The sequence below is a fragment of the Homo sapiens genome, chromosome 9 (assembly GCF_000001405.40).
Source record: "Homo sapiens chromosome 9, GRCh38.p14 Primary Assembly".
Taxonomy (NCBI): domain Eukaryota; kingdom Metazoa; phylum Chordata; class Mammalia; order Primates; family Hominidae; genus Homo; species Homo sapiens.
In genome coordinates this window covers 41,172,137-41,186,443 of record NC_000009.12, presented here as the reverse complement: position 1 = coordinate 41,186,443, position 14,307 = coordinate 41,172,137, and the positions used below count along the sequence as shown (strand labels likewise).

Below are 14,307 nucleotides of genomic sequence, written 5' to 3'. Positions count from 1 at the left end.
TTGTTTAAAGCATACTATAAGTAGCCATATAGTCAGCCTGAAGTTGCGTCTCGTTAATGTTGAAATAAAAGGTCACTATAAATAAAAGATTGTGTGTCAATTTTAGGGAAGGTTAGGCTAGGTTGAAGAAACTGTTTCAACTTGTAGGAGTGTTTGTAAATATTTATAAAATTTTATGTCTACATAAAGTATTTTGCAACAGGTTTCAAAGGATGCTTTAATCTTATCCTCTAGGATATTCTATACTAAAATAATATATGAAAAATAGCATGCAAATTCTCAAAAATGTTAGGATTCTTTATATGTTTTTTGTATCTTTAAAATTATTTTGAATTTTTTTATTTACAAAAAATATGTTTTATAGGTGCTGGGAAGACAACACTTCTGAACTATATTTTGACAGAGCAACATAGTAAAAGAGTAGCGGTCATTTTAAATGAATCTGGGGAAGGTAAGTAAAGTTCAATAAATGTCATGTTGCAAGATTTTGTGTGACTGTTTATTCCTCTGGTGAATTGATATTCCATATTTAAAAATGAAAATGCAAGGTATTGTATTGATGTGGATAGCTTTAGAAAAATTAGATTAATTTCTGTTAAGATTTATATGGGTTGAGATACTGAAATTAGTTTTAATAAAATTTTATTTTGTATAACTTTGGAATTCTTATTAACAGAATTAAACTACATTTTTACATGAAATAAATGACTCCAGAAGTAAAAATCTAGACATATGAAAAAACGTTTATTTTTTATTTTATTTTATTTTTTTTGAGATGGAGTCTCTCTCTGTTGCCAGGCTGGAGTGCAGTGGTGCAATCTCAGCTCACTGCCACCTCTGTCTCCCGGGTTAAAGTGATTCTCCTGCCTCAGCCTCCCGAGTAGCTGGGACTACAGGCATGCGCCACCATGCCCAGATAATTTTTGTATTTTTAGTAGAGACAGGGTTTCACCGTGTTGGCCAGGATGGTCTTGAGCTCCTGGCCTTATGATCCACCCGCCTCGGCCTCCCAAAGTTGCTGGGATTACAGGCGTGAGGCACCATGCCTGGCCAAAAAATGTCTTTTTTAGGAATTAGAAAGGCAGTTTTGTATGGACTCTATTGCAACTCATGAAAAATATTTGAAAATGCTTCTGTTATTAGTTAACTTTGTTTAATGTTTATTATCTGCAATGCAGTTAAAACTCAATATTTTAAAAAGAAAGTAAACATATGGTCTTTATCCTCATGTATTTTATCTGTGAAAATAAGTGTGCTTAACTTCTCAACTCAAATATTAAACTGTAGTAAAAAAAAAAATAGCTCTAGACACAGTACTTCTGTTATCTTTATAGGAGTTTTTCTTCATAAGTATGAATTGTAATCAAAGCTCACTTCTAGCCAAAAAACAATATCTATTAGACGATTTCTTTTAAAATGTACTATTTTTTTCAGTTGTAAAAAGTAAAAGAGCTAGGTTTTATGAACAGGATGGGAAGCCAGTTATATTCCAGTTATATTCGATTTCTGATTTTAATAAACTAAAGAGAAAAGTGCTTTTTAGGCAAAAATCCTGAGATTTCTAATAACAGACTGTTTTTTTCATCATCTTATTAAATAACCTATTGCACACTGATTACATTTATTCTTACTATTTTCTTTATTTTTTCCTGGATCATTTTCACAATTTTATTTTTCACAGCATTCTCAATACTTTTCTTCATGTTTCATTAATGTTCTGTATATAGTCCGAATTCTGTAGCAACCTCTTTAGAAGCTCTTTATTAATACCTAGCTGAAATATAAAAAATATGTAAGTGTAAAACTACTCGATTTTATGGGAGCTCATTTGCTTAGTGGACTTTTAGAACTTCACCGTTTGGTATATTTCTTTATTAGGGGAAAAGTAAAACATTTAAAATAATTCTTATAGATAACAAGCATTTCAAATATAGTTTATTCTTTCTTAAGTAAGTATTGCTAGGAAAATATGTGAATTTGACTAAAAGTTTAGGTTTTTTTTTTTTGAGATGGAGTCTCGCTGTGTTGCCCAGGCTGGAGTGCAGTGGCACAGTCTCGGGTCACTGCAACCTCCGCCTCCCGGGTTCACGCCATTCTCCTGCCTCAGCCGCCTGAGTAGCTGGGACTACAGGCGCCCGCTACCACACCTGGCTAATTTTTTGTAATTTTAGTAGAGATGAGGTTTCATTGTGTTAGCGAGGGTGGTCTCGATCTCCTGACCTCGTTATCCGCCCGCCTTGGCCTCCCTATAAATTTAATTTTTAAATGAGCACATGGTACACTGGCCAAAAACCTTCCTCAGGATGAACTAGGGTTTTTACTCATTGGGAATATTCAGCAGTTTGTCTAACAGAAACAATTTAGAAGAAGAATGAAAAGAAAAAGATAGATAAGGCAGTCTCTTAAGAGGTTGAAGGGCATACAGAATCCAGTATATAAAACATACTAGTCGATTTAGAAAGTTTACCCTGGACAAGAAAAAAATGCCTTCATTAAGAAATGGGGGTGGCCAAGTAAGAGGCCTAAGGAGGAAGTAGGTATGTTTATCAGTTTAGGATGTGTCTTTTTCAGGGCTTAAGACATCTTAAATAAAAGCTAAAATAATGTAGTGTACTGTAATTTAGGTATCAAGGCTGCATGAATAAAGTGAAAGAATATAAGTTATAAAATATAAGTTTCTGCTTTAAGATCTCCATTATTGAGTTATCCTCATCTTTGTTTTTTGTTGGCTAATGGACATAAGCTAAAGAGTTTGTTTATTTATTGTTTGTTATTTATTCTAGGAAGTGCGCTGGAGAAATCCTTAGCTGTCAGCCAAGGTGGAGAGCTCTATGAAGAGTGGCTGGAACTTAGAAACGGTTGCCTCTGCTGTTCAGTGAAGTGAGGAATGTGTTTACTGTGTACATGGTTTACTAGAAATGTTTATTGATTATATTTCCAGCTTTAATTTTCTTGAGTAATTTAACTGAATTTACACAGTTTGCTTCATTGTATTTTCAAACAAATAGAAAATAAACTTATTAGGAAGCATTTTCTTAAAGTGTTTCTTGCTGTCTTTTCTATCTGCTCTAATGTTTTGGTCCTTTTATTGAGTTTTTATTGCTTTTGATGTCAGGGCTTATTTAATCTCTAGTGCATGAAAGTCTCATATGTAAAAAATGATTATTCTGAATTTAATCTGTCATTGGTCATACTTCTAAGTGTTCAACCTTATAAAAAAAAAAATGACTATCAAAAAAGAAAAACCTTACATTATGTTCTAGTAGTTAAGTTTCCAAGGACAGTGATCACTAGTCTACCATAGACCCTAGAAGAGTTACCCAACACATAGTAGCACTCAAATATTTGTTGAATGAATTATAAAAATGACTACTTGTATTGTTAATTTTGTGTATTCTAGTGAATTAAATCTCTTCGGCATCATTTACTCCCTTAGGTATTTGACTTTGTGTCAAATGTTTTGGCAAGGATAAAATTATAACAGACTTTCTTGAACAACCAAAATGTAATCTATTAAGGATTTTCCTTCACTTTTGATAAAATAAGAAAAAAGGAATTTAAAACCTTGCATCCTAATGTAAAATAGAATTATATGGTGTTTAATATCAGTGTCCCTTTAGCTATTATATTAAACTACTATAGTTAATAAATTTTATCATTATTTTGTATGTTGGTTTTTAAAAATTTCATAAAGCTATAAAAAGATACTTGGTCAGATAAAGTTTCCTCTGCTTTTAATTTTAATAAAGTATTATTATGTATATGATTTCTTTTTACCTATTATATATATGCATCTATTGTTTTCTCACTGGTAAATATGGGACAGACATTTTGTTAGAAGGTTAGAAGTGAGTTAAATTTTCACATTCCTAAGGATACTTTTGTCTCGGGTTGTTGAATACATTTTAAAGTGTTTATAATAATCACTTCAAAATATTTAGGTAATTAACTGTAAATTATGTTTTGGTATTCTCCAGGGACAATGGCCTTAGAGCTATTGAGAATTTGATGCAAAAGAAGGGGAAATTTGATGACATACTGTTAGAGACCACTGGATTAGCAGACCCTGGTAAGAAGTGAGATTATTAATAACCAGAATATAGTTCTGTGATATATTGTAAATAGATGTATTAGAGGAATATCTAAAATGAGTATTAAAGCTTTTGTTAGTATTAAACCAAAAACTTTTTTTGGTTTAAAAGAGGAAAAGTACTTGGTTGTCATTTTCTTTGGCAGTTGAATGAATGATCAGAGTATTTCTTGGTGCTTTTAAGCTGTTAATAGAATTTGAAGTTTTATTGATTGACTTAGGATTATTTGTAAGAACAGAAGTTGTTAAAAATAAGGACATGTAGGAAGAGCAGAGACGTTCTACCTCTAAGTACAGTTGTCCCTTGGCATCCATGGCGTATTAGTTCCAGAACCTCTGAGGATACCAAAATCTATTAATGTTCAAGTCCCTTACATAAAATGGTGTAGTATTTGCCTATAACCTATGCACATCCTCCCATATACTTTAAATCATCTGTAGATTACTTATAATACCTAATACAATGTAAGTGCTGTGTAAGTAGTTATTATACTGCATTGATAAGGTAATCATGACAAGAAACTCTAAACTCTACTATGGAAAGCTACACAGAGTCAACCTGTTTCTCACAATGGGTTTCTGTTACCTTCTTACCAAGCTCTAATTCTTGATAAAGTCTGCTTATTTTCCCCAAATAACTTTTAGATAAAATCTTTATTTTCAGTTTGCATAAAAGTTAGTGCTTATTCTGTGAATCTGACCCATACCATTATTTTCTTTTTGATCTGGGTCTCTGGCATTGGGGCGATTTGTAAAACTATATTAAAGTATTTGGGGGTAATTTACTAAACAGGTCATAGTTGTCCAAAAGAAATATTGAAGTATCCTGAGAGTTCAAATGTGATCAGTGGTTATTGTACTTAAAACAATTACGTAGTAACATCATCCCCATGTTTTCAAAGTAGTATTGAATTAGGCTATTTTGGTCCTTATAGTAGGCATGGGTTTTCATACCTTTCTGATAAATCTGACTGATGATAGGACTTGGACTAATATGTTGGCGTTAAATATTATTTGAATCTGGTAAGAAAGAATATATTGTATGCTTTTATTAGAAATAGCAAATATCAGTTTATTTCATCATAGCCAGTTTTGCCATTTTATAGACAAAAACTTGATACTTTTGAGAGTTTAATTAAACACGATTCAGCTTTTCAGAGGAAGAAAGAAAAACTAAAGATCACAGAGAAAGCTTTTATACAAATTGTAGTTATAAAAAATGTTAATGTTTCTTGCTTCTAACTTTCTTTACAATAAAGATTTTATTGTTTGGGTAAAGATGGAACATTCATTGTAAAAAAATTTAAATACCTAAAAAATACAAAGAAGAAAGTTGAAAAGTAATCATCTCACTATTGTGATATACAAGTAAGGGCTGGGCATGGTGGCTCATGCCTGTAATCCCAGCACTTTGGGAGGCTGAGGCAGGTGGATCCCTTGAGGCCAGGAGTTCAAGACCAGCCTAGCCAACATGGTGAAATCCAGTCTCTACTGAAAATTCAAAAACTAGCCAGGCGTTGTGGCGCACCCCATAATCCCAGCTACTCAGGAGGCTAAGGCATGAGAATCGCTTGAAAGCTGGGAGGCGGAGGTTATGGTGAGCCGAGATCACGCCACTGCACTCCAGCCCAGGCAACAGAGCAAGACTGTATACACACACACGCACATGCACACGCACACACACACACACACATTCATACACACACACACAAGTAGGTAAATTTTATTCCAGGGATCTCTCTATGCCAGTGCTACTTGGTAGTATGTTGAATGGCAGCCTCAGCCTCAGCTGGGAGCTTGTTAGAAATGCAAATTCTTGACCAACCCAGATCTACTGAATCGGAATCTCTAAGGGAGGGGGTCAAGCAAGCTGTTTTTAATAAGCCCTTCAGGTGATTCTTATACTGTACAGCCATACCGCAGGGATATTGTGGGCTTAGTTCCATATCACTGCAGTAAACTGAATATCACAATAGAGTGAGTCACACACATTTTTTTGTTTCCCATTGCATATAAAAGTTATGCGTTTTGGCCGGGTGTGATGTGACAGGCCTGTAGTCCCAGCTACTTGGATCACTTGAGCTCAGGAGTTTGAGGCTGCAGTGAGTCATGATTGCACCACTGCACTCCAGCCTGGATGACAGCATGAGACCCCATTTCTTAAAAAAAAAAAAAAAAAAAAAAAGCTGTGTTTATACTATACTGTAGTCTATAAAATGTGTAATAGAATTGTCTAAAAAACATACATACCTTAATTAAAAATATTTATTGCTAAAAAATGCTAACGATCATCTCAGCTTTCAGCAAGTCATAATCTTTTTGCTGGTAGAGGGTCTTGCCACAATGTTGATGGGTGCTGACCAATCAGGGTAGTAGTTACTGAAGGTTGGGGTGGCTATCGCAATTTCATAAGATAATAATGAAGTTTGCTGCATTAGTTGACTCTCCCTTTCATAAAATATGTCTCTATAGCACATGATGCTATTTGATAGCATTTTACCCACAGTATGACTTCTTTCAAAATTGGAGTCAGTCCTCTCAAACCCTGCTTTATCAATTAAGCTTCTGTCATATTTTAAATCCTTTGTTGTCATTTTGACAGTGTTCATAGCATCTTCACCAGGAGTAGATTCCATCTCAAGAAACCACGTTCTTTTCCCGTCCATAAGAAACAACTTCTCATTAGTTAAAGTTTTCTTATGAGATTGCAGGAATTGAGTCACATCTTCAGACTCCCCTTCTAATTCTAGTTCTCTTACTGTTTCCACCATATCTGCAGTTATTTCCTCCGTTGAAGTCTGAAATCCCTCAAAGTCATCTGTGAGGGCTGGAATCATCTTTCAAACTCCTATTCATGTTGATACTTTGATCTCCCATGAATCACGAATGTTCTTAATGGCATCTAGAATGATGAATCCTTTCCAGAAGGTTTTCAATTTACTTTGCCTAGATCCATCAGAGGAATCACTATCTATGGTAGCTATAGCCTTATGAAATATATTTCTTAAATAAGACTTAAAAGTCAAAGTTACTCCTTGATCAGTGGGCTGCAGAATGGATGTTGTGTTAGCAGGCATGAAAACAACATTAATCTCCTTGTACATCTCCATCACAGCTCTTGGGTGATCAGGTGTGTTGTCAATGAGCAATAATATTTTGAAGGAATCTTTTTTTTTCTAAGCAGTAGATCTCAATGGTGGGCTTAAAATAAACCATGCTGTAAACAGATGTGCTGTCATCTAGGCTTTATTATTTATAGAAAACAGGCAGAGGAGATTTAGCATAATTCTTAATGGCCCTAGAATTTTCAGGATGGTAAATGATTATTGGCTTCAACTTGAAGTCACCAGCTGCTTTAGCCTCTAACAAGAGAGTCAGCCTGTCCTTTGAATCTTTGAAGCCAGGCATTGACTTCTCTATAGCTATGAAAGTCCTAAATGGCATCTTCCAAAAGGAGGCCATTTCATCTCCATTAAAAATCTGTTGCTGGCCGGGCTCGGTGGCTCATGCCTGTAATCTCAGCACTTTGGGAGGCCGAGATGGGCAGATCACGAGTTCAGGAGTTTAAGACCAGCCTGGCCAACATAGTGAAACCCCATCTCGACTAAAAATACCAAAAATTAGCCTGGCTTGGTGGTGGGAGCCTGTAATCCCAGTTACTTGGGAGGCTGAGGCAGGAGAATGGCTTGAACCCGGGAGGCGGAGGTGGCAGTGAGCTGAGATTGCACATTGCACTCCAGCCTGGGTGACAGAGCGAGACTCCATCTCAAAATAAATAAATAAATAAATAAAAAATAAGTCTGTTGCTTAGTGTAGCTACTTTCATGAATGATGTTAGCTACATCTTCTAGGTAGTTTACTACAGCTTCTATATCAGCATTTGCTGCTTTCCCTTGCACTTTTATGTTATGGAGATGGCTTCTTTCTTTAAATCTTGTGAACCAACCTCTGCTACCTTCCAACTTTTCTTCTCTAGCTTCCTCACCTCTCTCAGCCTTCATAGAACTGAAGAGAGTTAGGGTTGCTCTGAATTAGGCTTTGGCTTAAGGGAACATTGTGGCTTGTTTGATCATCTATCCAGACCACTTCATATCAGCAATAAGGCTGTTTTATTATCATTTGTGTGTTTACTGGAGTAGCACTTTTAATTTCCTTCAAGAACTTTTCCTTTGCATTCACAACTTAGCTAACTGGCTCAAGAGACCTAGCTTTTGGCGTATCTTGGCTTTCAACATAACTTCCTCACTAAGCATAATCATTTCTAGCTCTTGATTTAAAGTGAGAAACAGGTGACTGTTCCTTTCACTTGAACACTTAGAGGCCATTGTAGGATATTAATTGGCCTAGTTTCGTGTTGATCATATTCTTTATGTTGTCATGGTTCTGTCATAATTCTTTTAGTTCTATGTTTTAATAGTTTTGGTGCTCATTACCAGTACTGTTGCTTCTCCATTCCCGAGTTAGTCCATCTCCTGATTGAATTTCATTGTCAGGCAGTCTTTTCAAGTTACAGGTACTGCATGCATTCTTTGGGTTCTTATACACTTCATTGATTCAAAATATTTGTCTTTTGTTTTTATATTACTTGAAGGATTACTTGGCTAGGTATAAAATTTATCAGTCACACTTTTTTCCCCCTCAACTTTGTAAATGTTGTTCCATAATCTCCTAGTGTTTGATTGGCTGGATTTCTTTGTCCAATGTTTTCTCCTTTTATTAGGAAGAATTTGTGAGTATTATAGTCTCTGAGTTTCAATGCTTGCTGTTTTCTTTAATGCTTGAGAATGTCTGTCTATTGCTTTCGTTCCTGAAAAATAACTTGTTTGGGAACACTTTCATTAGAACTTTGTGGTCACTGTTTTATTATTTTGGGACATCTAGTGTTACTGTAGAAAAGTCTGATTTTTCTCCCTCCCTCCTTGAAGGCACTTTTTTTTTTTTAATCTAAAATGCCTGAGAGTTTTCTTCTTTATTTTTGAAATTCAGTAATATAAACAAGGTATATCTAAGTGTCACTTATAATCATTTTTCCCTAAATTATAATATGCCCTTAGTTCTTCTAAGAACATTTTCCTTGTTTATTACCATGAATACTTTTTTTTGGTCAAATTATTAGATCCTCTACTTCATGACACCAGTTTTTTTAATACTGAATTTTCTTTTGTTCTTCGTATGTATTCTAATTGCTTTGATTTGTCTTTTACCTTTGCATTTACTGTGATCATCTGAAGCCTTTCTTTTTGTCAATAATTCTGTTTTCTCCAGTATCTGTCCTGTTTTTGATATTTTAAATGAATTAATTGGTTAAGTCATTGTGTTATATAGGCTCTAAGTTTCTTTAGCACTACAAACTGCATTTTCATCTTATTCTGCTTCTTGCTTTTGAGCTTGTTTATTATAAGGTTGTATTGTTTTCAAGTTCTTCATTATGATGAAGTTGTTGAGAATTTTCTTTAGTTTTTATTGGGTTATGTATCCTTCCAGAATGGGTTCTTTGCCACTTGTATGCCCTATTCATTTCTTCATTTTGTGTTCTTTCTTGCTTTTTATTCCCTGTATGTGTGTATTTCTTTTTGTCAGGCTGTAATACATATGCATACATGTTTCTTCTTGATATGGGAGAACTTCTATGTGGTGCTGATGGGAAATATTTTTAATACTCCACTCTCCTTACCCAAGTTTGTTTTTCTCCTGAGCCCTAGTTTGAAAGCTGTATATTGTTGGAGTGGAGGGAAGGAGAAGGGAAAAGTGGTGATTCAGAGAGCCAAATGGGGCAATGTGGCTTTTAGGCTCTGCTCTCTTGAAGTACCAAGTATTTCACTCTTGGGTCTGCCCAACTGCTTATGAATAAAATTCCTTTGCCTTGTATGGGGACATCATTCGACCTCAGACCTCTCATTTCTCTTTGTTCTGAGCCCTAGAATGTGACCTGACCTTCTCCTTCCCAAAGCATGGAGATGGTTAAAACTCACTCTTGAAATTTTTTTGTTGACTTTTCCCTCTGTTGCTTATTCATTCCTCGGCTCTACTTTTTGCCATTTTGGAGTGTATTTCTGGTAAGTGTTTAGGATTTTGTAAACTATTTCCCTACAACCTCTTACTGGAGGTAGGGGTAGAGTTGGGAATGACCATCAATCACATATAACTTTGTTTCTTATTTTGACTATCAGTCTTCAAAATTTATGGCAGGCCCTTTTATATTTGGTTGCTGCTAATAAAATGTTGGCCTTTTTGTTTTATTTTTTATTTTTATTTTTTGTTTTATTAGATTTTGAAGAAGGGAGATTCTAAAATGTAGTTCAGGTTTTCTCAGTGTCAGCACAAATAACATTTTGGGTTGGATAATTATTTGTTGTGAGGGGGTTGCCCTGTGCAGAGTAGGATATTTAACAACATCCCTGGCTTCTACCCACTAGATGCCAGTAGCATTCCCCTAGTTAAGAGAACCAAAAACATCTTCAGACATTGCCAAATATTCCCTGGGGAGAAAAGCACCCTGGTTTGAGAGCCACTAATCAATTTTGTTCATTCATCTTTACTCCTCCTAAATACCTACATCCAAATTTTAAATAGATCTTTCTCATGTAGTCTGGCAAGTATTATATCAAAGATAAATACCAGTTTTAGAATAAAGCATTAATATACTCTTACATTTCAACTTAAGAGGCAAATATTAACAGTAGGATTTGTAAACTATTTATTAGACTAAAAATCAATGAATTTTTAAAAATTACAAAATGATTTATGTATGTTAGATATTTTACTGAGTGAAAAAATTCATGCTTTTTTAAATGACTTATTGTTTGGAGTAGTGATACAGTAGATTTAATTTTCCCCCTCATTAATTAAAATCATGTTTTAGCCAAGAAAGTGAACAGAATTCTTATTGGCAATTCAGTTGTTTCCCGTTTTGGAGACTGACACTCTCCAGTTCTAAGTTAAATAATTGTCATGGTAAAGTAATTTCCTTGAAAAGAACGGACATTGATTCAGCCCCTGTTACTCACAAATCCTATTTGAGTCAAATTGGAAAACTATTACGTTTTTGGGAAAAAAATCAATAGGTATCAGGAAACCATTAGATCTTGTGGCCCTTGCTATATCTTGCATGAGTAATCACTGTAAACAGCTGACCGTTATTTCATTGTTGACACAGAGTGATGCTTGGGGGACCACATCTTGTCAGAGCAGGTGGACAGCTTTAGACTTTGGAATGAGTTTGATTATCCTTGTTTTTCTCCTACACTTATTCTTTTAGACAGCCCTGTCACTAACTGGGCCTGTGATGCTTTCAAAAATCAAATACTTTCCTTGCTGTCAGTTTTCTTTTTCTTGCGTTGTGGCATACTAATCAGGGTACGTGGTTTGGTACTGAACCAATTTCTGTCAAAAGCAAGTTTTAATTTATTATTTAGGAAAAATTTTTCCTAAGACCCAGGTTTTATACAGTCCTAAATAATTAGTGTGAGGAATAATTAGTAATGCCATAGAGTATATAATTTTACTTCTAGTTCTACACAGATTACAAGTAAATTTTTTTTGGGCAAGTGATTTTGGAATTATCTATGTTTTGTTTTCCTTTTCCTTTAGAGTGATAATTCACTATTTATGATTGAATGATTATCATATTAAAGAGGTGAGAAAATAAAAATAAGTCTGATGTGCACAAAGCCATACTGCTCAAATTGTTTGATAATATCTGTTAATTAAATTATTATGGCATCGGTAGAAGAATGATGTTTTGTTTATATGTGGTTAGAATTGGTCTTTTTTAAAGGAAATAACAAGAGAGATGGAAATGGAATGGGTATAAATAGTAAAAGGTTCTATCACTATAATTCCCTTTTGCTATAAATAGTTAAAGCTTCTATCACTATAATTTCCATAAGAAGATATATGTGTTTACCTGTTAATTTTATCAGGGCAAATTAAAACATGGATAGAATCATGTTTCTCAATGTGAAGAAATATTTTTATTTGATGAATATTATATATTTTCACGTGCAGTGGCTTCTATGTTTTGGGTTGATGCCGAATTAGGGAGTGATATTTACCTTGATGGTAAGTTAAAAAACAGTTTTCTTTTATCTTTCTTGTTTTTTTTTTTTTTTTTTTTTTTTTCTGAGACAGAGTCTCACTTTGTTGCCCAGACTGGAGTGCATGGAGTGCAGTGGCATGATCTCGGCTCACTGCAACCTTTACCTCCTGGGTTCAAGTGATTCTCCTGCCTCAGCCTCCCGAGTAGCTGGGACTACAGGCGTGCACCATCGTACCTGGCTAATTTTTGGATTTTTAGTAGAGACGGGGTTTTGCCATGTTGGCCTGACTGGTCTTGAACCCCTGACTTCAGGTGATCCGCCAGCCTTGGCCTCCCAAAGTGCTGGGATTACAGGCGTGAGCCACCACACCCTGCCTCTTTTGTTTTTTAGTAAAATCTTTATGGTTGAGCTTATTGTTGTTCATTCATATTATAACTTTAATTCCTTGCATTGTTGTTCTTTTCACACTTTAGTTTAATGATGAAATCTTTGTTCATATAGATTAAAAAACCCCAGACAGTGGTGGAACTCGATGTCACTCAACTTCCAATTTAGTGCTTCCACTAAGGTTTTCTTTAAAAAAAAAAAATGCTTTGTAGGTTTTCTGTATCCTCTGTTGTTTGATTTATGCCCTTAATATAATGTTAGAGCCTTTTATTTTAATCCTCCAGGCAATATGAGGATCATATTTTTGCTTTTATTTTCTCTTGAAGATAAGAATTAAACACTCCTCCCTTACTTTATTTACCTGAACACTTTTGGGCAATGATATGCCTTCATTTAAAATATATTAGAAACTTTCTTAGTTAAGCGACTATGTTTTCTCCCTTTCTCTTTCCCTTTTTCACCTTTTTAAAAACCAGTCGAAATTTTCTTACTTTTTCAAAAGTAATAATCATTAAGAAATTTAAGAATTATTAAGCTGGGCCCCATCATTGAGCTCTAATATATGTGGCGGGTAACTGGTTGAATTCCTTAGGCATAATTAAACTCATTCTTTTGTTATCAGCATATATTCAGAGATTGCAAAATGAATTGGTAGTTTGGAAACTTAGGCATATGTTATGTAAAACATTTATGAGTTGGATTTGGATTTGGTGAGAGATGTTAGGAATGATACCTTAAGATGTCTCATTCTTTAGGCAATAATTTAAATCTTAAGAAAAGTCTTGATTTTGATTATGTGAAAATAAACTAGAAATAACCTGTCTTATGTACTTATCACATTTGACTATGTTATGAAATTTGACTTATATTTTGGATTGTAAGCTTTTTCAGTGCCAAGGAAATCTTATTTTCTTATTTATTTAATTTAAAATTTTTATTTGTTTTATATCTTCTCTAGTGCCTTAAAATAGTGCTAGCCACTCAGGAAATGCATTGACTTATTACTGGAATTTAATTAAATGGCAGCACTGGCAAGAGAAAAAAACAGTACATTGTTTTATTGAGTAGTATTTGTGAACTGAAATAGGTTAGTTTTAATTTTCATTCTGAAGTATGGTTGCACAAGTATTAATAAGCATTCTTTTTAAAAAGTGATTAAAATGTTTTTTCCTTTGTAGGTATCATAACTATTGTGGATTCAAAATATGGATTAAAAGTAAGTTGAAAGATTGCTATGAGTGGCTCATTATTGAGAGCTGGGAATATGGGGATTGATTGTTTAATTTTCTTTATGTTTGTATCTGAAATTTTCTTTAACAAAAACCTTTCTCAAAAAGATATCCTGAACAATAGGTGAAATTTGTGTTTTAATTATTAGTTTGTGTTAAATATTTCTTTTCTATTACTCTGAGTTTGATTTGGTGATAAAATTTGGAATTATAATTTGTAATAAGCATATGGGGTTAGGATAGAGTTTGGTATGTATAGCTCTTCACAAGGATTCAACCCCAATATTGGTAAGTTTTTCTGTTCCATAGAAGAAGCTGAGCTTGATAAAGCATCTGAGATCTTATTTTTCTTGTTAAATTACTATTAAACACACACTGGAAATGAGTTTTTAAAAAATATTGAAGACCTAGGTGATGGGTTAATAGGTGCAGGAAACCACCATGGCACCCGTTTACCTATGTAACAAACCTGCACATCGTGAGCATGTACCCTGGAACTTAAAATTTAAAAAGTACATATTGAAGAAAATCAGGATATACACATAGGATTAGTAAGAAGACT

General features: G+C 34.2%; 1 protein-coding gene across 25 annotated transcripts in view; it reads left to right on the top strand.

Moving 5' to 3' along the window:
* ZNG1F (Zn regulated GTPase metalloprotein activator 1F) overlaps window positions 1–14,307 on the top strand; it is a 74,427-nt gene that overhangs the window by 19,292 nt on the left and 40,828 nt on the right. For 19 of the 25 annotated variants that reach the window (NR_170339.1, XR_001746362.2, XR_001746359.2 and 16 more), the window contains 4 exons: window positions 365–451; window positions 2,784–2,880; window positions 3,978–4,069; window positions 13,695–13,732. Coding sequence is in view for 20 of the 25 variants with exons in the window: in XM_047423720.1 (XP_047279676.1) it covers window positions 365–451; window positions 2,784–2,880; window positions 3,978–4,069; window positions 13,695–13,732 (314 nt within the window). In the remaining 5 variants the exon portion in view is untranslated. Of the gene's footprint in view, window positions 1–364; window positions 452–2,783; window positions 2,881–3,977; window positions 4,070–11,732; window positions 12,152–13,694; window positions 13,733–14,307 lie in introns of those variants that run through there. The other 6 variants (XM_017015036.2, XM_024447653.2, XM_017015035.2 and 3 more) reach the window with 3 other exon arrangements.